General features: G+C 45.4%; 1 protein-coding gene and 1 non-coding gene across 2 annotated transcripts in view, besides 2 other annotated features; both read left to right on the top strand.

Annotated features, from left to right (window-relative positions):
* Window positions 1-23,246, top strand: part of MYO1E (myosin IE) — a 240,438-nt gene that overhangs the window by 191,002 nt on the left and 26,190 nt on the right. Inside the window, exons 19-24 of the mRNA NM_004998.4 lie at window positions 3,333-3,477; window positions 7,630-7,744; window positions 7,955-8,124; window positions 9,828-9,973; window positions 18,567-18,713; window positions 20,640-20,797. Coding sequence (NP_004989.2) covers window positions 3,333-3,477; window positions 7,630-7,744; window positions 7,955-8,124; window positions 9,828-9,973; window positions 18,567-18,713; window positions 20,640-20,797 — 881 coding nt within the window. The remainder of the gene's footprint in view (window positions 1-3,332; window positions 3,478-7,629; window positions 7,745-7,954; window positions 8,125-9,827; window positions 9,974-18,566; window positions 18,714-20,639; window positions 20,798-23,246) is intronic.
* Window positions 10,608-10,687, top strand: MIR2116 (microRNA 2116). The gene has a single exon (NR_031750.1). It is a non-coding gene; the product is annotated as a microRNA 2116 (primary transcript).
* Window positions 15,909-15,958: an enhancer, noted in NCBI's record as "active region_9486". NCBI's record gives its function as "activates an Ori minimal core promoter by ATAC-STARR-seq in GM12878 lymphoblastoid cells {active_cell/tissue: GM12878}" and the evidence as "EXISTENCE:reporter gene assay evidence [ECO:0000049][PMID:35858748]".
* Window positions 20,236-20,737: an enhancer, noted in NCBI's record as "OCT4 hESC enhancer chr15:59453332-59453833 (GRCh37/hg19 assembly coordinates)". NCBI's record gives its function as "activates a minimal SCP1, AML or CMV promoter by ChIP-STARR-seq in primed H9 embryonic stem cells {active_cell/tissue: H9 hESC(primed)}" and the evidence as "EXISTENCE:reporter gene assay evidence [ECO:0000049][PMID:30033119]".

Genomic DNA, 23,246 nt, shown 5'->3' with positions numbered 1-23,246 from the left:
CCACAGAAAGGCTGCCAAATGAGAAACAGAAAGTAAAAGCCTGAAGGGAAAGGATATATTAATACCCAGCACAACTATCCACATCTGCATGTATTATACACCCTCCCTATATAGGAAGTTCACAGGCCTAAACAGAGCCATGGCTCACAGACTACCCAGAGCATAGTGTTTGCTTAGGAAATATTCTGTGTGTTTAGTGTGTGTTCGTTTCCTCTCTGGAAAATCCTTTATATTTATCAAAACCATCCCTCTTGACTGAATATTGGAGAGCAAAAATCAAAAGATGCCTTAATTCCCCCATGGGTGGGCCCCATGCTCTTGAAGTAAGTGCTGTGCTACTTGAAGCAGTAGTAGGAAGAACCCATTTACACCATCTCCCCACTACAACTTTTATGCCTTCAGAAAGTGTTAAAAAACTGTTACAAATAGCCATGTTGTGTCTTGGAAAATAAGTTCTCCAGAAAACACCTCTCTGAGCTAGGCAATGTGTGTTTCTTTCTGTGGTTGGCAGAAATAAGCCCAAATACAGATTCTGATGCTTAGGAGGAAGAATGTGGTAGAAACATAACAGATTTGCAAAGTCTATCTTGTAGCATGATTTACACTTCCTCACAAGCATGCTTCCTCTGACCTTAGCCTCTCAGAATGTGGGGATGATAAAGGGATGCCTCATCAGCAAAGGCGTTCCACTTCACGGGCAAGAGAGAAGGAGGAATAGGAAGCCCAGGAAAGCACGGAGTGGTGGAGAGCGTTCTCCTGGCTGCCAGGATGTTTGTGTCCTCCGAGGTCAGAAACATCCTTAATCTCAAGTGCCAGCAGCTGGGAGTCCCTGGGGTCCCAGCTGCATTTCCTCTGAGAAGGAAACATGGGATCAGTGATCCAAGAGATAACAAGAGCAGGGAACAGATTTCCAGGCAGAAAGAGGAGCTGGCACAAAGGCCTTGAGAGGAAATATTAGCATATTTGAGTCTTAAACTGAAAATATGTGATGAAAGGAATGTAAGCTATTATTGCCATCTGTCCAAAATTATCACAGGCACCAGTTAGGCAGGGGCACCATTGCCCTGTGCAACCTGTTCCCATGAGTATATCCTAGAGAAAGAGAGTGGCCTGGGTACACTTGGTAGGAGAACATGTGTTGTTGGTTTATGCCCTGGTCTCCAGTGCGATACCAAAGGATGGGGTGAGGATGTATCAGGCTTCATGGAAGCAAAGGAAGCCCCAGGCAATTCCCATGTATTGCCAAGACCCTCAACACTGGAGGCCTTGTCAGGATAAGGGAGAGAAAGTCTCTGCAAGGTTCGTTACCATTAAAAAAAAAAAAAGAGAAACGCAGCATTAATTTTGTAGGAAAAAATGTGAATTGCCATAAAGACCCATTTCCAGTTGCACGATAAATATACTTTAGTTTATAATTTTAGGTTAGATCAAGCCAAGCAAAACTGTACTCTCAGAAGCTTGTCACCTTGAAAGTCTATAGTCTTTTCCTTCTCACTTCTACCCTCCATGAACTTTCTGCCTCACCCAATTAGATTCCTAGCACCTACTCATTTTCACTAACTCCCCCAATCACATCTAGACAGGTTCTGCTATTAGTCATTTATGTGTAGCTTAATTTGTTTTAATTAACATCCTTATAACATATATGAATGTTATTCATGCTAATGTGTGACTTCCACTAGGCATTTTCATTTTTAAGCTTTTTATCTCTAATTAGGGAATAGGAGGATTTACCTCTCTAGGAAGTTTATGATATTATCAGGCAAGATGCAGACATTTGAGAGGAGCAGAGAAGGCTCCTAAAATCACCTGAGTCGCAACCAGCTGGCAGGGCCACTCAAGGTTCCCTTCTCCCTTGGCTGTCATAAATCAGTCTAATCGTGACAGTAGTTTCTGGGAACAAAGGAGGGCCCTGGCTTCGCTCAAGGCCTGGGGGCCTATTGCCTGGGCCCTGGATGTGCTCTCACGTGGGCCACGCCCTCCAACTTCACACCCACACATACCCATGATGATTCTATCCATATTTGACAAACTGTAATGTGTTTGTCTCTCCTTGATTATATCAGCCTCTGACATAATAGTAATGTTTCTAACATAGGCATGTATAGTAGACTGGATAATCTTTAAAAGAAATATTTAAATGTGAACCAGTCCATGGCTTTTTTACAGTGCCATCATGAAAGAGACAGAGAGGGATTCAAATCCCATCTCTGACGCTTAATGGCTAAGTAGCCTTGGGCAAGTCATAATTTGCCTCTGTCTCCTACTCTGCAAAATGGAAAACCAACCTGATCAGGTTGCTGTAGGAGTAAGAGGAGATCGTACATCAAAAGCTTCAATCACAGCACCTCATGCAGAGAGAGCACCCATCCGCATTAGCCAGGAATGTTCATTATGACTGCTGTGTGCCAGGCACGGTTTAAGGCTCTGGATGTACAGCAGGAGCCACACAGATGTGGCATCCGGTCTCCTGGAGCTCTCACCTTCATCTGGGAGGCATAAATTAACCAAATAAACACCACCGTGAATATAACTACCAATTAGAGTACATGCTCTGAAGGAAAAATAGTACTTGCTATGAGAGAAACTAACAAGAGAGCAGTTTTTGATTTTTGGTCCAAGAAGGCCTGTCTGGGAGTGTCACTGAAGGTGAGACACCCAAGCGGGAGCCAGCCGAGTGATGAGTTTGGGGAGCAGCACACCAGTAGAGGGGAGAGCAGGGGCAGAGGCGCCGAGGAAGGAAAGGGCATGGTGGGCATGAAGAAGAGGCCATTCTCGAAGAAATGCAGCAAGCCAAAGTGAGAATGAAGAGGCGAGGCTGGAGAACAGCCAACGACCAGATCCCAAGGGCCTCGTGACCCAGATGCACAGAATTTCAAAGGTGAAAGTTGATACACAGTTGTCATAATAGCTGTTTAGCAGGAGCTTTATAAAACTCTTTGCATTAAGTGTTAAATGCCCTGAAGAAGTCAGGGGAGATGATTATTGAGACAAGACCGTTTGATTTTTGCCTAAAGACCACCCCTGGTGGCCTTCCACAATGCTATTTTCAGACAGTGGTAGAAAGAGTACGCAGGTTTTCACCAGGGTGTTGACGTGGGAATGCTGGGAAAGGGAAAGAAGCAGGAGGCAGCTCGGGAACGAGCATCCCAGACTCGGGATTTTTGCAGTCATCGCAGTCCACGCCTGAGCCTTCGAACGCTGGTAAACAGATGATCAGTAACTTTGCAGCACTGGGCACCTTCAGAGCAGAGCTCTTGCTGCCTTGCCCGGGTAGAAAACCAGTGCGGTCCCGCCCAAGTGTGATTCTCTTCTCCCCAATGTCCCCACAGGTATGCCATTCTGACCAAAGCCACCTGGCCTTCTTGGCAGGGAGAGGAGAAGCAAGGCGTCCTGCACCTGCTGCAGTCGGTCAACATGGACAGCGACCAGTTCCAGCTGGGGAGGAGTAAAGTGTTCATCAAAGCCCCCGAGTCTGTGAGTGCTTGGCTGGCTCTCCACTCTCTTCCCTCCCGCGGGGCCCCCGCCAGCCCTGCTCCACCCCTCAGCTGGCTTCTTTTTCTCATTCTTCGCTTCATGCCATCAATGTTGTCTCCTCAAAGAAGCCTTCCCTCCCTTCCTGGTCTAAGTGGGTCCTTCCCTAAACACCTGCTCTCCATAGCCCATCACTGCCCGGTTCATTTCCTGCAGAGCACTAAGCAGGTAGAAAAAGGGGCATCAGAGAGTGGCTCCTTCCTCGCTGACTGTCTCGCTCCTCTCTAGCTGCTACACTCCTGGAGGGCAGGGACTCTTTGTTCCATATGTGTTTATATACCCAAAGCCTCACACAGAAAATGCTCAATAGTTACTTAATCTCTAAGAGTGTCTAAGCTAAAGAGGGACTTCAGTGTCCCACCCATGGTTAGTTGACACCAAGTCAGTTACGCATAGTCTCAGGATTCCTCCTGGAAGGTGCAGCAGAGTGCCGGGTGGGAATTCCCAGGATTGTACCTAGAAGGCTGTGGGGGAGCCTAGAAAGGACTGTGAGGGGGAAAATAGGTGGGAGGAGAAATCTCTGGTTTATAGAACACAGTACTTACCAGTAAGGCATTCATAATACACATTTACAATTCACAAACAGTCTGCTACAGCTTCATTTAGAGACACTTCTTTCTTTCCTGATGAGAGTGTGGTCAGTGAGCCCCATGAATGTCCACAGGAAGTTCTGTTCAGTTCTTCTGCCCAGTTTGCTCCAGGGCTGCGGAATAAAGACATTCATTCCTTTTTAAGCTGGAGAAACTGCTGGAACCGAGGCTCAGCATCATCGTTTCTCAAGGCTCCCTTAACCATCACAAGACCTATTTCAAGAGTCAGTGATGAACTTGGCAGAAATCAGTCATCAGACCAAGGGGAAATCATATGGGAACTCACAGTAAAAAGGGAAGCATTTGACTTCAGGCAGATCCCAGTCTTGCCATTAGTTTTCTTCTCCTCTAAGGTGGGCCCCATAGCCACTGTTTCTGCCTGCCTCGTAGGATCAGCCTGAGACTCAGGAATGATAATGGCTATAACTGAATGGCTTTGTGAGACATCAAGATTATTAAATAAGCGGCACACAGAGATGGAACCCATTTATGACACGTTTGTGGTAGCATTTTTCTACTTTGAGTTATTTGTAGCTTCACAAGAATTTTCATTTCCAAATATAAAGTGAAAATGTTGTGTCATTCGCCATTAAGCAACCCACAGAACAGTTCCTGTTCTTTCTAAAATGGGATGGAGTGATTTATCGGTACAATGCAGAACTCCTTGTTTCATACCCGCTGTTACTTTTCAACTTGTGAGGTTTTCATATATAATTAAAACAGCCTCAATATTTGTAATACTTTTTTTTCTGCTTCAGTTGCGTTGGAGGGGGTTATATTCAAAATCAAGATTTATTTTTGGCTGTCCTTTTCCTTGCCTTACATTCAATTGTGTTATTACCATTATTTGACTCTCCTTTCCCCCATCTTTGACACATGCACTCACACACGCACACCATCACCTCCGCTCTCTCCCCTGCCCCAAACGCATACATCCCCATCTAGCCCTGACATGCAAATACTTTCACAAAAGTTGACTCTTAAAATCTGGCTGGGCACAGTGGCTCATGCCTCTAATCTCAATACTTTGGGAGGCTGAGTTGGGAAGATGACTTGAGGCCAGGAGTTCAAGACTGGGCAAGTCAGTTAGACCTCTTCTCTACAAAAAAATTTAAAATTAGCTGGGTGTGGTGGTACACGCCTGCTGTCCTAGCTACTCAGGAGGCTGAGGTTGGAGGATCACTTGAGCCCAGGAGTTCAAGGTTACAGTGAGCTATGATTGTACCACTGCAGTCCAGCCTGGGCAACAGATCAAGAAAGACCCTTTCTCTAAAAAAAAGAAAAAAAAAAAAAAAAGGAAAAAGAAAACCTACCATGTGGTTTCACCTTAATAGTAAATGTTCTGAATATACAAAATTACCTATTTGCTTTAAGAACCCACATCATAACCGCGCGCAGTGGCTCACGCCTGTAATCCCAGCACTTTGGGGGGCTGAGGCCGGCAGATCACGAGGTCAGGAGATCAAGACCATCCTGGCTAACACGGCGAAACCCCATCTCTACTAAAAATACAAAAAAAATTAGCCGGGCATGGTGGCGGGCGCCTGTAGTCCCAGCTACTCAGGTGGCTGAGGCAGGAGAATGGCGTGAACCCAGGAGGCAGAGCTTGCAGTGGGCCGAGATCGCGCCACTGCACTCCAGCCTGGGTGACAGAGCAAGACTCTGCCTCGGAAAACAACAACAACAACAACAAAACCCACATCAGACACCATAGGGTTTGTTTTTGTTTTGTTAAATGTATCCATGTCTTTTGGCTTTTCTCATTTAAGGTTGTTTTGTGTGTTTTCCTGTTGTTGTTTTTTGGTTTGGTTTGGTTTTTATTCTCTCCTTATCTGTGTTATCAAGGTTTTTTCTTGAACCTCCCTAATTTCTAACCCCCTGGGCTTTTAAAAAGAAATCTAAAATCCAGCGAATCTTTGAGATAGTCTCTAGGAAGTTGGGAATCGTTTGCCTGTTCATCCTTTCTCTGAGTCACAAGTGTATTTTCTGTGATACGCCCAAAATAGTTCTGGGAAAGAAGAAGGAAACAAGACTTACTCAGAAACCCAATACACAAGATAAGAAATATCAATGGATATTCTTACAACAGGCAACTGCAGGGCTCAGATTTTAAACATTCTGTCCAGTTGCTAATCTGTGCATTCCACTTGGGGTTTAGAAATCTGTCCTTATGCCTATTGTTTACAGCACTGAAGCCAGGGGAATTACGTGGTCCCTCCCCTGGTGTTTGGAGTTTGAGTTGTTGTTTCTGCACAGATGGATCTGTGAGGAGAGAAGTTGAGTGGCAGGAGAGGATAGGTCTGTCTCCCAAGCATGCACCCGGATAAACAGAGACAACAAATCAAGCCCAGCTGCCTTCAAACCACATTGGCTTGTTTACTTCTGGAACATTTTTGCAATGACTGTTCATCATCTTTACTTTGGATTTTTATTGGTTGATTTTATTTTTTTCCTAGAGAGTCATGTAAGCCACTCTCAAGGTAAATGAGAAGGTTTCCTACTATTTTACAAGTGGATCAAGTGCAGATTTACAGAGAAAGCTTTGCGTGTCTAAATGAGGAGGAGCCTGGCAGAGCCTGAAAGACCTAGGTTCACTTTCTAGCCCCACCCAGTCTTAGTTCCAATGTTCTCATCTGTAAAATAGAGATGACAGAGTATGCGGCTCATGTAGCTGTGGAGGCGTTGAATGAAACTGTGTGGAAATCATCTAGGGTGACTTCTGCCCCATAGTGGGCACTCGGCTCACTACAGCTGTTTGCTGTCACCTTTATCATTCCAAGGCCTGGTTGAGGCGCAGCTGTCAGCATTCATTGGTAAAATGGCCGGACTCTCAAGACCTGCTAGAGGCTGATGTGGTCCCTAAACAGCCCCAGCCTTTCTGGGCAAATGCAAGTCCTCATTAACACACCTCACGTCCAGCTCCAGTCACTGTGGTTATTATCCTCTGCTCCGCTGGTCCTTGGTGAATCCTGAGATTGGTGAATCCTGAGACAGGAAGTCTATATTTTCTTGGAACTGAAAGTAGGGCAGCCCTCCTTCCACAGCAGCACAAGCCCAGCTCCTGCAGAAACTGGAAAATTCTGTTTAGAGGCTGCATGCAGAAGTGCCGCGCCAAACAACAGCAACAGCCTCCACCCACTCACTTGATCTGACTTCCTAATAATACACTCTTTGGATCAAGGTGGGGAATAAGTGGAGAAGCATTGAATCGCTCATTCGATTCTCACAGAGACTGTAGCAAGGCAGGACAAGGTCTAACTGAATACACTCAGATTCTCCTATTTCCCATTGTTTTCCATTAAAAGAAAAAAAGGTATAGGTCATTTTATAGTGAGAATAAACAACATGCCACAGTAAGCGTTTCACATATTCGTTCATGAATCAGAGAAGCTGCTTCCCGTGTGTGTCATTGTCTAAACTGAGGGTCCCTGGAATAACAAGAAAAGTGTTGTTCAGGGATTGGGGCTTGGGGCTTGGCTCACATTTGTCTTCTCTCCATTCACAGCTATTTCTTTTAGAAGAGATGAGAGAGAGAAAGTATGATGGGTATGCTCGAGTGATACAGAAATCATGGAGGAAATTCGTGGCCCGGAAGAAATACGTTCAAATGAGAGAAGAAGGTATTTTAGCAATTTTGTTTCATTGATTTTAATAAATCTGAAGAGTAAATTGGAGCTTAAGTGAAGTTTTAAGTTCCATTTTATTTTGCATATAATGTCACGCTAAAAATATTGCATCATTTAGAGTTTCTTTGTATATTTCCACAGTATTTTCCTCCCTTTTCTGACTGACTTATCCTTCTTCCATCTTGACCCTCTTGGGAATTGTAGCCTCAGACCTCTTATTGAACAAGAAGGAGAGAAGGAGAAACAGTATTAACAGGAACTTTATAGGGGATTATATTGGGATGGAAGAGCACCCAGAACTCCAGCAGTTCGTGGGCAAGAGGGAGAAGATTGATTTCGCAGACACAGTCACCAAGTATGACAGGAGGTTCAAGGTACGTGCTAACTGCCTGCCTCTGAGATCACCAAACAGATTCCTTATTTTTTTAATAACTTGTTATTTTGCTTTTGTTGTTACCAAATCAGAATGTGTTCGTTGTAGAAAAATTTAGAGAAAATACAGTAAACCAAAAGATAAACAGGCACCTATGCCCAGAAACATTCACTGTTAACATTCTGTGTATATCCATATCTTTCAGAATGTTTTTATGAAAACATACATTTGCGTATTTAGTTTTACAAAAAATGAGATATACATTACATGCTGTTTTATGTCCTGAAGTGGTTTTTTGTTTGTCTTTTAAATAATGCGAGAATTTTCGATAGTAATACAGTTAGCAATATAAGTTATTTTACATGGCTGCATAGTATTCCATTTGACAGATGCTTTATTATTTTTAACCAGTTTCTCATGAATCAATTTTTAGTGAGTTTTTCTTTTTTACTATCGTAACTTCAGTGAGCATCTTTTCACACATCTTTGTGTATCTATCTGTCTCCTAATATTTTTAGAAGAAATTGATAGGAGTGAAATCGTTGAATCAAAGGATTCAGAGTATCAAGTAATATTGCAGAGTATCCTCATCCATTTTCCCAGAGTGGCTGATAAGTAAGGCTTTTCCAGCCACAGGAGGAACAGTTGATTTTTCACCTCCTCCTTTAGATACCTTTTGATAAAGTCTTGGTCCTAATAGAAAAATCTGAAGCTTCAGAAGCTCATGGACCCGTTAAGAGCTTTTGGCTTTTTGCCAGGGGCGGGGAGGTCAAGAAAAAAATTTAACGAAATAAACAACGGAAGCATGTTTTGCTAAAACCAAACCATTCCTTGCAACCTGTGCATGGCACCAGCTGCTGTGACGGCAGCCCTGGATGCACACAGGGGTGCTTAGCTCTCGCAGCGGTACTCATTATAAAGTGGTTACCCACAAATTCCCAAGTAGATTTCTATTAGATTATTGAGAATTATCATTCAAATGACAATATATCAGTATTTTAGAATGAAAATTTTATGAACTCCCAAGAAAATATATGCAGACACTGCCCCCTGTTTAGAAACATGCTGTAGTGCATCCTTGCTAAGTTCACCACAGGTGTTGGTGACTTTCCCTTTACACCTGCTGTCCTGATATGTGAAGTGACTCCATATGAGTTTGCCAGTTTTTAAGTCAAAAAGAGTCAAATGTCATCATTTTTTACATGTCATCCTAATAATCATGAACAATGCCCTCTTTCACTGTCATGGGGCCCGGTCATGTGATGAATGGAATGGCCTCTCAACAGTAGTGAAGATTGACTGTCCAAGGCAGCTTCCCCCTGTCCTGGTAACAGCAGTCCACTGTGTGAATTGTTGTCATCACATTGACCATGTCTGTCCACCTTTTTTTGAGACGGAGTCTTGCTCTGTCACCCAGGCTGGAGTGCAATGGCGCAATCTCGGCTCACTGCAACCTCCACCTCCCAGGTTAAAGCGATTCTCCTGCCTCAGCCTCCCAAGTAGCTGGGATTGCAGGCGCCCACCACCACACCCAGCTAATTTTTGTATTTTCAGTAGAGACGGGGTTTCACCATGTTGGTCAGGCTGGTCTCGAACTCCTGACCTCAGGTGATTCACCCGCCTCGGCCTCCGAAAGTACTGGGATTACAGGTGTGAGCCACCATGCCTGGCCTGTCCAGCTTCTTAAAGCTCCTCTCCTTACAGGGTGTAAAGCGAGACCTGCTCCTTACCCCAAAGTGCTTGTACTTAATCGGACGAGAAAAAGTCAAACAGGGCCCAGACAAGGGCCTGGTGAAAGAAGTCCTGAAGCGGAAAATCGAGATAGAACGGATCTTGTCTGTGTCCCTCAGGTGAGTAGTGGAGGTGCAGAGGCAGGACTGCCCCTTCTCGCCTCAGCATCACGGTCCGCTGTTCCAAACAGCCAGGAGGAAGGCCGGGCTGGGCTTCCCAGCTGTCAAAATCATGATCAAGAGAATGGAATTTCCCTTTGTCCCAAAGGGAAGACTCCCTAGTCTCAGCAAGTCTTGATATGTCAGGAAGAAGGTACCAAGAAAAGGTTGCCTCCGGACAGCTCCTCTAATCAAGGGGGACCCAGATCTCTTGTAACCGAAACGTGTTAGAAATGAACCCGGTATATGGAACACCTCAGAGAATAATTTCTCTTGTTGCAGTAGAGCCAAGGATTCAGAGCCCTGTCCCCCAGTCCACCTCACCCAGGTTGGAGGCCTCACCCATTTCCCTGAGCAGAGGGTCCTGAAAGGGAAGTTTCTTTGGGACTTCCTTAGGGAGTGCAAGTTGGTCTCCATTCTCTGTAGCCCTGGAGTCATCGTGAGATGCTCTCTTCGCTCCAATTCTCAGGCAGTGGGGAGTGGTGTTTGCTTCCACAAGGCCTCAGGAAGGGCCCTTGCTCCTCCCGGCAGCACCTTGGCTTCCTCTCGGCAGAAGGGCTCCTCTGCCGGCCGTCAGCATCTCCTCCGTCAGTGGGACCTAGGCTAGGGGTTCTTAGCATAGGAGGTCTTCCCATGCTAAGAAGTCCTCCCATGCCAAGAACTCCCAGACTAGGAGTCCTCCCATGCTAAGTCCTCCCGAAGTCCTCCCATGGTAAGAACTCCTAGACTAAGTTCCGCTGACACAGGAAATCCTCGCAATCCATGAAGACTAAGAATGGAAGAAAGGCCTCCTTGAGCCCCATAGCTTCCTCCAAGAATCGTGTCCCTGGGCCTCTGAGGCTAACACTACTTTAATCAGGAAAAGCTTTGGGCCTTTGCATTAAAGATGTTCTGCTCTCACATGAACATGGAATTGGGACGCCTGTCAAACTCTTACTCCACACAGAAGGCAAAACTGGTGCGCTCAGGAAAAAGCAGGGGTTTTATGTGCTCAGGCGTCTGATGTACCAAGCTGGAAATCCTAGTTCCAGTCTGATAATCCAAAACAGATTTCTAGTTGCATCCATTCTTGCCTGTGTCTCTGTGGTTTCTGATTCTATCTGTTCCTAATTTCCCTGGATAAAGGACCAGGCAGTGCAGTGCAGTGAAGTATTTAAAACGTGCCAACTCAGGATGTGGTAAAGTTGCTAAGCAGATGAGTCCGCAGTGTCCATTTTGCAGCCCCACCTCAGGTAGGTTTCAAGGCTATTGTTTTTTTTGTTTTTTTTTTAAAGCTCTAGGCGCTGACTGATTTTCTGAAGGCCTTCCTAAACATTCAGCTCACTGGCTGGGTCCCAACCTGAGCGGGGCAGTGCCTGCTGGCCACACTCTTCCTGGCTAGCTGGGCCCTGAGGCTGCCGTGGAAACCCAACAGGAAGCTCCTGCTTTGTTTGTCATTGCATGGGGCCCTGCCATGCCTGGACTAAGCCAGGTTGGCCACAGCGTGCTTGGCAGGCACAGCAGGTGAAAGTCAGGGAACCACAGCTCTAGGGTGTGTGTAGTCGCTGTGCCGAGAGTGACTTGTTCTTTCTGTTATTGCCCAGGTATGTCTTCAGTCCCTCAGACCCCTGGTGGAGTGCTCATGACTGGGACCATAAATTATCCTAATTGAGCTACATTTGTGTGGTTGTTTTGTTTTGTTTTGTTTTGTTTTGTTTTAGACAGAGTCTCGCTCTGTCACCCAGGCTGGAGTGCAGTGGCGTGATCTCAGCTCACTGCAACTTCTGCCTCCCTGGTCCAAGTGGTTCTCCTGCCTCAGGCTCCCGAGTAGCTGGGATTACAGGCCTGAGCCACCACCCCTGGCTAATGTTTGTATTTTTAGTGAGAGACAAGGTTTCACCACGTTGGCCAGGCTCGTCTTGAACTCCCGACTTCAAGTGATCCACTCATCTCAGCCTCCCAAAGTGCTGGGATTAGAGGCGTGAGCCACCGTGCCTGGCCTTGAGCTACACTTGTATCAAGCACTTTGACACTTACTATCTTATTGATAAGTCCTTGAGGGGGTTGTCAAGCAGGGACTGTAGGGACTGTTCACACTCAAATTTCTTCCTTTTATTGTTTTTTGTTTGTTTATTGTCTTCTTTTACAGCCTCTGGGGATATAATCTGTCATGGGAGCACCAGCTTCTTTTTCTTCTTCCTGTTCAGTATTCATTATCTGGAAGGTTCCTTTCTTGCGGTCTTTCCTTTTTAAAGGCTGTAGTAAAATGAGGTACTTAGCCTAAAAGTTTTTCTGACTCTAAGGAAAAAAAAAGAAAGTGTGAGTCATTTGAACTTGTGATGTCTGTGTATTGCAGTCACTGAACCTCACACTTGCCAAGATGAATAATAGTGTCCCCTCATTTCTTTATACTTGAGTTAGGCCAGTAATCAGAACCAAGTTAGGAAAGCAACCAGAGGGTGATGTGTGTGCAGAATCGAACCCAGAGTGGAAATTAATTCTGGTACCAGACTACTGAACATGCGTGTGTGTTCTCAAAATACTTCAGTACTGGCATAGAGAAAGATTTTAACAGTTGGCTTGTACTTCAGGAAAAAAGCTGCAACATCTGTATGTGTTTTTAAGAATTTCTGAGATTGACCAGTTGACTATTGGCTGGAATGATATCAACATATGGCCTCCTAGTTACGATTTATCAAAGTATCCCATAAGCTTGATCTTAGCCCATCTCTAGCTCTTACAATTAATGTCAGTGCACAGTGGGCCTACAGCTCCCTATTCAAACCAACCAACCATTCAGTAACAGTTACAAGACAACATGTGAGCATGACTAAATATTTGGTATGAAGAATTTATTGTTTATTTCTGTAGGTATGATAATGTTTTGTGGTTAATTTTAATATAAAGAGACTTTATCTTTTAATAATATGTACTGAAACATTTGAGCATGAAATAAAGGCTGAGCGCAGTGACCCACGCCTGTAATCCCAGCACTTTGGGAGACCAAGGCAGGAGGCTCGCTTGACCCCAGGAGGTTTGGGACCCACCTGGGCAACATAGTAAGAACCCATCTCTACAAAAAATGTGAAAATTAGCCAGGAGTGGTGGTACGTGCCCGTGGTCCCAGCTACTCAGGAAGCTGAGGTGGGAGGATTGCTTGAGCCCAATAGGTCAAGGCTGCAATGAGTCATGATCATACCACTGCACTCCAGCCTGGTAGTTATTTTAAAGTGGAAGCAGGGAGAGTGAGGTTGTAGATAATTGTGATTATCCGTGAATTGGTGCTTGAAATCTGACATGTGGTGGTTCATTCTATACTACTTTTTATTTTTTTGAGACGGGGTCTCACTTTGCCACCCAGGCTGGAGTGCAGTGGCGCAATCTCGGCTCACTGCAGCCTCGCCCTCCAGGTTCAAGCAATCCTCCCACCTCAGCCCCCTAAGTATCTGAGACTACAGGCATGTACCCCCACTTCTGGCTAATTTTTGTATTTTTTGTAGAGACACGGTTTCCCCATGTTACCCAGGCTGGTCTCCAATTCCTGGGCTCATGGGATCTACCCACCTCGCCTCCCAAAGTGCTAGGATTACAGGCATGAGCCACTGCACCTGGCCCTACTATCCTACTTGTTTACAATTTAGAATTTTCCATAATAAAATGTTTTTCTAATCCTCCAGTAGATGTTAAATTTTTAGAAGTCTTTATCTTTTCTAAACATACAGATATATGTCTAGTTGAGTTACGGTTAAAAATTTTTTTGAAGTTTTCATTTACAAGAAAAAATAGGATCCCAACAGGTAGAAATAGGGCCAATAGCTCAGAGAGATATTAAGACAATAGTTTGTCAAAGGGACTCCAGGATAATTTGATCAGGAAAAATCCTTATTTAAATAAAAATTAGGCTGGGTGTGGTGGCTCACACCTGTAATCCCAGCACTTTGGGAGGCCGAGGCGAGCCGATTGCTTGAGGTCAGGCGTTCAAGACCAGCCTGGCCAACATGATGAAACCCCCTCTCTACTAAAAATACAAAAAAATTAGTTGAGCATGGTGGTGTGTGCCTGTAATCCCAGCTACTTAGGAGGCTGCGGCAGGAGAATCGCTTGAGCCCAGGAGGCGGAGGGTGCAGTGAGCCAAGATCACACCACTGCACTCCAGCCTGGGCAACAGAGCGAGACTCCGTCTCAAAATAAATAAATAAATAAAAATTAAAGTGAAACACTGACGCTTGCATTTCTGGCTTCATTGGAGACTCGGGAAGAGTGTCAGGAGGTGACACACCAATACAGAGTTGAGACACGGGATTTCTGAGTGTATGGTGGCTGCTGGCAGAAGGCCATGCCTGGGTTTTTGAAGGATCCTCCCAGAGTTGCTTCTTGTTCAAGTACTGGCCTGGCCCCACTCTTATTTGAAAAACTCAATTGCAGGAAGGGTGACCACAGGTGTAATGACCCATGTTCTTGGCTTTGCTATTGTAGGTGTTGAGTTCGGTGCCATGGAAGCTCTTATTTGGGGGTCTCTGATGAGGCTTCTCATTTTTCTTCTCATTCTGGTGGCTGATCACCAGAAGGATGAGACCAAAAGTTGTGTGGCTGTCTGTCTGGGTTAATAGATTTTCCAGTACTTATCTCCAATTGGAAAAACAACCCGTAAGACGGTGCTTTTAGACAGAGGCTCCAGCTCCCTGGTCACAACATTCTTGCCCAGAATGTCTCCTTGCCTGAATCCCCTAAACTTTCTGGCAATAAAAACAGCCCGCTTCACTGCCTGTCCTGCTGACCTGAAGCATTACTGGCATCTTGACTTGCTATGGTCTGTAAGCATTGGGAACCTGGAAGTTGTCAACATCATGGGATTGAGCACCTACCTGGTGCTGAGCCCTGGTATTCGAAGGTGGATGAGGCACAGTCACTGCCTCAGGAAGCTCCTCTCATTCTGGAAGGGGGAACAGACAGCTGAGTAAACATGTGCCTTACTATAAGTGTTCCCAGCGTGATTTAAAGGATATTCCTGGGACACAAGAGAGGAGAGTGGGTCTTTGCATCTGCGGGTCAGGTGAAGCTTCTTTGAGCTGGACACGTCACTGCTGAGGCCTGCATCTGCGTCCGGGCTTTCTCAGAGAAGTTAAGAAGGTTCTGAAACTGGTGCCACTGGTTTCTCTGAGTGGTAGAATTCTGGGCAAGGTTTATTTTCTTCTTGATTCGCCTCCGTATCTTCCAGTTTCCTAAAAGCAGCATATATTTCATAATCAGGAAAGACTTTTATAAAAGCTTAAATAAAGGCAGGGCTATCCTTGGAAATTGCCTTTTCAGCTTTAAAAAAAAAAAACAAAACTCCTTCAGGACTTTCCTTGGTGTTTTGTAACTAACATTTCTGTGAAAAGATATATTGGTGAAGAGAGTAAAACAGATTTTCTAGTGTTTTCAGCAATACAACAGTAAGCCGCAAAGACAGAGGAATAAAAAAACAAGGGCAGATCCAAACCAGAGACTAGGAAGAGGTCTTTCAACACAGCTTACAGCGTCAAACATCTGTAAGGAATTGCAGCATAGGAATAAGTCAGGGGTGAAGTCCAAAGATAAGTCTGACTTTTTAGAATAAATAAACACGAAAGCTTTGTTTTCAGGTTCAGGAGCGTGGGCTAAGGAGAGCAGAATGAGCTGAGACCCTGGCCTGGGTGAAGGTGGTCTGCCTAGCTCCAATGCCTGGATCATTGAAGGGAGGGGATTTTGGAGTTGTTGGTTAAAGTCAAAGTGTCCAAACACATCTCTTCTCATTTCTAGATTCATGCTGATAATTGACCTTGAAGTTTTGGCCTGCTTGCTTTTTTCGTTATAATAGTAATGAAACTCCTAATAAATCTAAGCCCATTAAACCACTCAAGGTGACTTGTGTTGGGCTCATTTAGCCCTGTTGAATAATCACCATCCTGCCACAGTTCAGCCAGGCCACCAGGCATGACCAGACATGCCAAAGAAAGCTTTGAGCAAACAACCAAAACAGGAAGGCGTTTCATTCCTCACCCCAAAGGCCAAAAAGTGGAGCTTCTTGTTTTACTCTGGTCTTTTGCATGCACTCTACCTAATGCAGCCGGGTTCTTACACCTGGGCTAGGGTGCCAGGAGGCTTAGACTTTATTAATTCAAAATGACTTGGAAGAGCTCTTTTGAGCAGCTTTTCATAAGTGCTTTTTGGGGTTTTAGATTGCTGGCTGTACCTTTAAAGGTAAGTAGGAGGTGTTTGTTCCCAGGCACTATGGAACTGGCACGTTGGCCCTGAATTGCCTTTGCATGAGCTGTTGAGTGACGGAGATGAAAACCGTCTATTGTTTAAACCACTGCTTGTCAGGGTTTATCCTTGATCCCAACTATCACAGGAGTGGGCAAGAAGCATGGCTATGATGTGTGGATGTCTGAAAACAAACATCTGAGGTAATGATAATGACCAAGTGTTCCACCCAAATGGCTATTATTTGTCCAAAAAACACTGTAAAGGGTTCTGACTTTACGTCCAAGGGAAACTCTTTGGCTGCTCTTCAGTAAGCTGGCCATGAAAGGACCAAGCTCCTTTCCCCTGACACTGGCCTCTTGCTTCCAGTGAACTCCATTCACCGCCCCGCCCCACCCCCATGGTTTGCGCGTACTGCCATTCTACGCCTTCCTATCCAATTGTGCTGTGGTTCCTTCGACCTCTTTTTCTCCTGTGGATTACCAAGCCCCTTTCCTGTAGGAGGACTGAAAGTGGGTAATATGTAAACAGTAAGAATTTAATTTTTACAGTTCTAGAGACCGGGAAGTCCAAGGTCAAGGTGCAGGCAGATGTGGTGTCTGGTGAAGGCCCAGTCTTTTCTTTATAGATGGCGCCTCTTGTTGTGTCCTCACATGGGAGAATGACAGAAAGGGCAAACCACTCTGTCATACCTCTTCTGTAAGGTCACTAATCCAATTCATGAGGACCTCTTCCTTGTAACTTAATCACCTCCTTAAGGCCACACTTCTTAATACTAGCACATTGGTGAATGAGTTTCAACATCAGACCAAGGTAGAGGCTGTGGCTACAGCTACTGGCTCCATCACCTCTGGGTCACTAGCTCCCTGTCTCAGTCTGGAGAGAAGGTTCCTGACAAGCCTGAGATAGTCCCCCAAGATTCTCTGCCCAAGGGAGCCCTGTCATTCCAAGAAGGGCCCAACCCCTACCTTGACCTGTGAATGGGGCTGAACAGGGATACCACAGGAGTTTCCTTCTAAATGGATCAGATTTTACATGGAAGAAGGATCCAGGGTCTCAAAGATTCTCCACAGCTCAGTCCTCTTGTGATCCCCTTGCCTCATCATCTGGCTTTGTCACAGCCACAGTAATCCCACTGGTGCAGTGACACCAGGTGCTCTGAGAGCAGAGCAGAGCTCCTGAGTGATGCTGCAGGGCTCTGGATATACAAAGAACCGTGTCTGTGGCACTTGGAGAGAATAAAATGTTACCATGGTCAATTCACTGAAGCAGGTTTGCCTAATTTGTTTCTAATGCCTGGGAAAATGCTTACAATCCCTAACGAAATCTCATTCTTCAAAGGGTTGTCTTTGGTATTTGGCAGTGGTACTTGGAGATACTCGTAAACTTATATATTATAGTCTTTGGGGTGGTGGCCCCATTCACCTGAGTGATAAATCTAACAGGGAATGCAAATTCTCAATTACATACATGTTGTTGCTTTCTACCAAGCCTAGCCAGGCTTGAAGATGGAACTTTGTCTCATCAACCTCCCCTGACCAGCAAGCGTTTCCTCGGAGCTGGGTCTGCCTCAGCGTCTCTCTGCCATCACCCTATAGCTTGTAACACCTGCTCCCCTCCAGGCATAAATTTCTCCACAATCCCACCCTGTCCAAACATGCAGTTCCCGCAAAGGTGTGTTCTTTCCTTGTCTGACAAAATTCATTAGCTTGAAGGTGATGATTTTTGCTTGTTTGCTGTTTGTCCATTCTGGCCTTCGCATTTCTGAACTTGGATGTGTCTGTACGTTCTAGTAGCTCCTGGCCTACAGTGTCCACAGAGCACTGTTTGCCAGAAGGTTCTTAATAAGTACCTTGAAGTCCAGGATATTGGCTTCCCTCTTGAGAACCGAGCTTATGATTCTTCAAGTTCAAATTTACTACAATAGCTATAACCATATCATAAATTATACTAACTTGGAACTTAAATGTAGAGTCATCCCTTTTCAACTGCATTCTATTCATAACTTTCTGGATTTTTATGATCTTAAAAACACAAGTTGGACTTGAAAATGGATTTTTTTTTAATATGGGCTAAATTGTCCTTAAGTTCCTGATTGTAAAAATCATGTGGAAAAAGTACTTTGATCATGCTTTTGTTGGACTATAAACCTTCTTTGAAAGCAGATTTCAGCAATTTCATTATGTAATTCATTGTTGTTGGTTTTGTTTGAAAGATTATTACTTATAGAAAGAAAGACTGTAAAATCTTAGCACTATCTTGCAGGATTTTTAAAATGGAAGAAAAAAAAAACAATAGAGTAAACAGAAGCACAGCTTTCACCAAGTGTGTTTGTCCAATCTCTTTACAGTACTATGCAGGATGACATTTTTATTCTCCATGAGCAAGAGTATGACAGTTTGCTTGAATCTGTCTTCAAAACTGAATTCCTAAGCCTCTTAGCAAAGCGTTACGAGGAGAAGACCCAGAAGCAACTACCTCTGAAATTCAGCAATACGTAAGTCCGGATCTGGGACCCAGACTTCTGCGTGTAGCTAAAAAGGGGTCTTGATCGCACCCCTGCGATTCAGGATGGGGCTGGAGGAGGCCTGCGAGGAGAAGAGTGGGGTCTGGCTGGCCCCAGTGGAACCTTAGAGCCTGCAGAAGACAGTCTGGATAGTAGTCACAGACTTTGAAAAGGTTACTTTTGCATTTCTGTGAAATAATGACTTCATAGACTAGTGTATTTTATCATTTAGACAAAAATCACCTGAATGAGGCAGACAAAGGCAGATTTTTATGTATCACCCAAAAAAGGGTTTTTTTAATTTAGGAGAGCAGACAGGAGTAGAATCACACTGGAAGCAGATAAAAGTGACAGAGGTGGGGGTTTAAATTCCCCAAACCAATGCATAATAAAACCTGTTTATTGGTAGAGCCTCCGGGGGCTTGAGGACTATAGGTGGCCAACGTATTGTGTAGGTGGTTCACCTTTCTTTCTTTTTTTTTTTTTTTCTTTTTTTTTTCTTGAGATGGCGTCTCGTTCTGTTGCCCAGGCTGGCGTACAGTGGTGCGACCTTGGCTCACTGCAACCTCTGCCTCCCAGGTTCAAGCAATTCTCCTGCCTCAGCCTCCTGAGTAGCTAGGATTACAAGTGCTCACCACCACACCCAGCTAATGTTTTCTTATTTTTAGTAGATACGGGGTTTCACCATGTTGGCCAGGCTGGTCTTGAACTCCTAACCTCAAGTGATCCACCCGCCTCGGCGTCCCAAAGTGCTGGGATCACAGGCTTGAGCCACCATGCCCAGCCTCACCTTCATTTCTTTTGGCAACATGATCTAATGGACCAGGTACTGGCTGGCATACTGTTGACCCTCTAATCTCATATTTGCTGAGTAAGAGTTATTTAGCTAGTCTGGGCAATATAGTAAGACCACATCTCTACAAAAAGTAAAAAATAAAAAAAAAATTAGCCGAGTATGGTGGTGCATGCCTGTAGTCCCAGCTACTCGGGAGGCTGAGGTGGGAGGATACTTGAGCCCAGGAGGCAGAGGTTGCAGTGAGCTGAGACCGCACCACTGCACGCCAGCCTGGGCAACAGAGCAAGACCCTGTCTAAAACACAGAAAGAAAGTTATTTAGCTTTTCTTTTTAAATTTCCCCATCTATAAAATGGGAATATCCTCCATCTTTTCCTAGCTACAAAAATAAGGCCAAGACAAAGCCTTTATATCATGATGAGGGAAACTTATAATAGGCAGCTACTTAAAATTATGATTTTTCCTTCTTATGATATCAGAAAATATAACTTAAAAACAGAATAAGGATTGCATAATACAGGCATATATGCAATATAGAAGCATTAAAACTGGATGGGGAGTTTGGGAATTGCAGGTAAATCCTGCCTTCTATTTGGATTTTGGTTGCTAGTGTGTGTCTTTTTCCATCCCTGGGTGGGCTGTGATGGTGCAAGAATAGTACAGGACTAAACAAAGCCAGGTTCTATGCTAGAGTCCTCAAGCTGGCCTGTGTCTGGCATCTCTCAGTCCTCCACAAGCACAGAATCAGGGACAACAGCTGGAAGCACAATGACAGCACAGCGGTATGACCTGGAAATTGTCTCTTTCCTCTGTCCCCTCAGCAGGCGCCTCTGAGACCACCTGACAGAGTGGCACTGGCACATTAGCCAGATGTACCTCCCTCACCACCTGGTGTCTCACGGTACCGGGCCCCAGATGCTCCTTTTTCTGGCTCATTGTCATGCAGCGACAGTGCCACCCCATGGATGCGGTGCGCATCCTCAGGGCCCTGCTCCTGGTGTAGATTGTCCGTTCTCGCCTCATGTTTATGCTTTTCCAGCAGCAGAACTCCGTGGCGGGATCTCTGAGCACCGTTTTCTCACTGCGTCCTTCGACCTGTTAACCCCACTGTGCTTTTTGCAGGCTTGAACTGAAGTTGAAAAAGGAAAACTGGGGCCCCTGGAGTGCAGGGGGCTCCCGGCAAGTGCAGTTCCACCAAGGGTTTGGGGACCTGGCTGTCCTCAAGCCCAGTAACAAAGTGCTGCAGGTCAGCATCGGACCTGGACTGCCCAAGAACTCCCGTAAGTGCTCCACGGGCCCTGCAGGCAGAACTGCCGCCGCTCCCCCGAGTCTCCCGAGCAAATGCTGCAAACATGTGCACAGATGTGGGGGCTGAGAATCAGTACACCTTCTGCTTGCTGGGGCTCACGCTTTCTTCAGAATGGAACATTTCAAACTAAAGCAACAGCAAGGAAAATGAGCAGGTTAAAAGTTTCTGAGGGACTTAGTACTTATGTATCAGTACACCTGGCATTACAATATTGTGGTTAAAACAAATCAAAGTTTGTTAGCTTCAAATTTCCCCTCCCTTTCCAGTCAGATCTTGTCCACAATACCAACATCATCCTCTATGCCACCTTTAAAGAAATTGACTGGGCCCGGCGTGGTGGCTCACACCTATAATCCCAGCACCTTGGGAGGCCAAGGCCGGACGATCGCTTGAACCCAAGAGTTCCAGACCAGCCTGAGTAACATGGCAAAACCCTGTCTCCACACACAAAAATAAAAATGTAAAAATTAGCCAGGCATGGTGGTGCATGCCTGTAGTCCCAGCCACTCCGGAGGCTGAGGTGGGAGGATGGCTTGAGCCTGGGAGGTCAAGGCTGCAGTAAATCATGATCTTTACTGGGGTGCCACTGCACCCCAGCCTAGGTGACAGAGCAAGACCCTGCCTCATTAAAAAAAAGAAGATGAAAAAGAAATAAAACACCATACACACACACACACACACACACACACACACACACACACACACACGCACTACCTCAAACCCCAGTCTAACTCCTTCCCTGGCCTTTATTTTTGTATTTATAATTGATATTTATAAACTTATATCTATAGCACACAGCATAGAATAATCATACATGCTATGTATGCATATACTGTGATATTGTTCTAAGATTTAGCCTGTGTGTGATCACACACATGAAGATGCCTTATATAAAATAACTGTTTCTAGGCCAGGCACGGTGGCTCATGCCTATAATCCCTGCACTTTGGGAGGCCGAGGCAGGCGGACTACCTGAGGTCAGGAGTTTGAGACCAGCCTGACCAACACCCAGTCTCTACTAAATACAAAAAACTAGCCAGGTGTTGTGGCGTATGCCTGTAGTCCCAGCTACTTGGGAGGCTGAGGCAGGAGAATTGCTTGAACCCAGGAGGTGGAGGTTGCAGTGAGCTGAGATCGCGCCATTGCACACCAGCCTGGGCAACAAGAGCGAAACTCCATCTCAAAAATTAATTAATTAATTAGCCATTTCTCAAATCTGTCTGCAAAGGTACACCTTAACATGTTCTCTAACATATTAATACAATACCAGCAAATGCCATCATATCTTTATATATGTAGAGCCACTCAGAAAATGTTGATGTATGTCTGTGTATCCGTTAGTACTTGCAGAAAACAGACAGCAACTTTTGGAGGGATTTCTGAAGCGATTTTTCAGTGAAAAGATGTGGACGGGGTTTAGGGAACAAAGTAGGGACCCAGGGAAAGGGAGTGGCAGGAAATCATTATTATCCGCAAACCTGAAGCAGCAGAGGGAGGAACGAGGTGAACTGAAGGCTACAGTCAGGAAGGAGGCACATGAAGTCCCCCACCTCCCTCCTGACACTCCAGTCTCCTTCCAGTGCCTCCTGTTGGCCTGGCCTATAGGCCTCACCCCACTGGAAGGCAGAGGCCTGGCTGTCCACAGGACTCAGACCCCAGGGCACAGAGCCGGGCAAAGAAAGGCTGCAAATAACCAGCAGGCTATGTTTGTGCGGCGGGCCCCCGAGGGGAAATTGCCCAATAGGTGTTGGATTCTATCTTATTTGGGGTGGCGAGAGTGGCCTAGGTACTGGGAGGGAAGCGTCCAGCAGGCCACACTGGGTTTGCCCCGATCCCACGTGGTCGGTTCTCCCAGGCCCTAGAGCTGCAGCTCCTTTGCTGTGTTTGCACTGTGCACCTTGTCACCTCCTACCCTTCTCTATTCTTCAGCTCTTCTCTTTATAAGAAATTCCCTCTGCACCCCTCTTCCAGCTGGTTTAATCCTACCTTCCTTCCTGTTCCATTCAAGACCCTATTGTTTTTCTTCCCCACATAGATGTCTCTGCAGAGATCTCCTCTGGCTCCTCTGGCCCTGCTGTCCAGCCCTGACTGTGACCCACAGTGTGTTCCTTTGGCCCCAGCTTGTTCCTCATTCCTTCATGTCTGTGTCAAGGGTACAAGTCTGCTTCTCCTCCTTGTGGTCTGTGTTTAGTTCAAGGACCGTAGAACACACACTCTTGCGTGCAAGGCGCTTGACGTAGGCAGGTGTGCAGTCAGTGCCAGAACGGGCTTCATGCCAACCCCGTTGATCCGCAGCATTAGTGAACCTGCTCAGCCACTTAGCATTTAGAACATGAATGCAAATGTTTAAATGTTCCATCTGTCTCTTTTAAAAGTCTGTAAAAATAGAAACACCTTTGTAAGATGACCAATCCTTCTTT

This window comes from Homo sapiens, chromosome 15, assembly GCF_000001405.40.
Source record: "Homo sapiens chromosome 15, GRCh38.p14 Primary Assembly".
Lineage (NCBI taxonomy): Eukaryota > Metazoa > Chordata > Mammalia > Primates > Hominidae > Homo > Homo sapiens.
The sequence above is the reverse complement of the archived record's forward strand: the minus strand, read 5'-3'. Positions and strand labels throughout refer to the sequence as shown.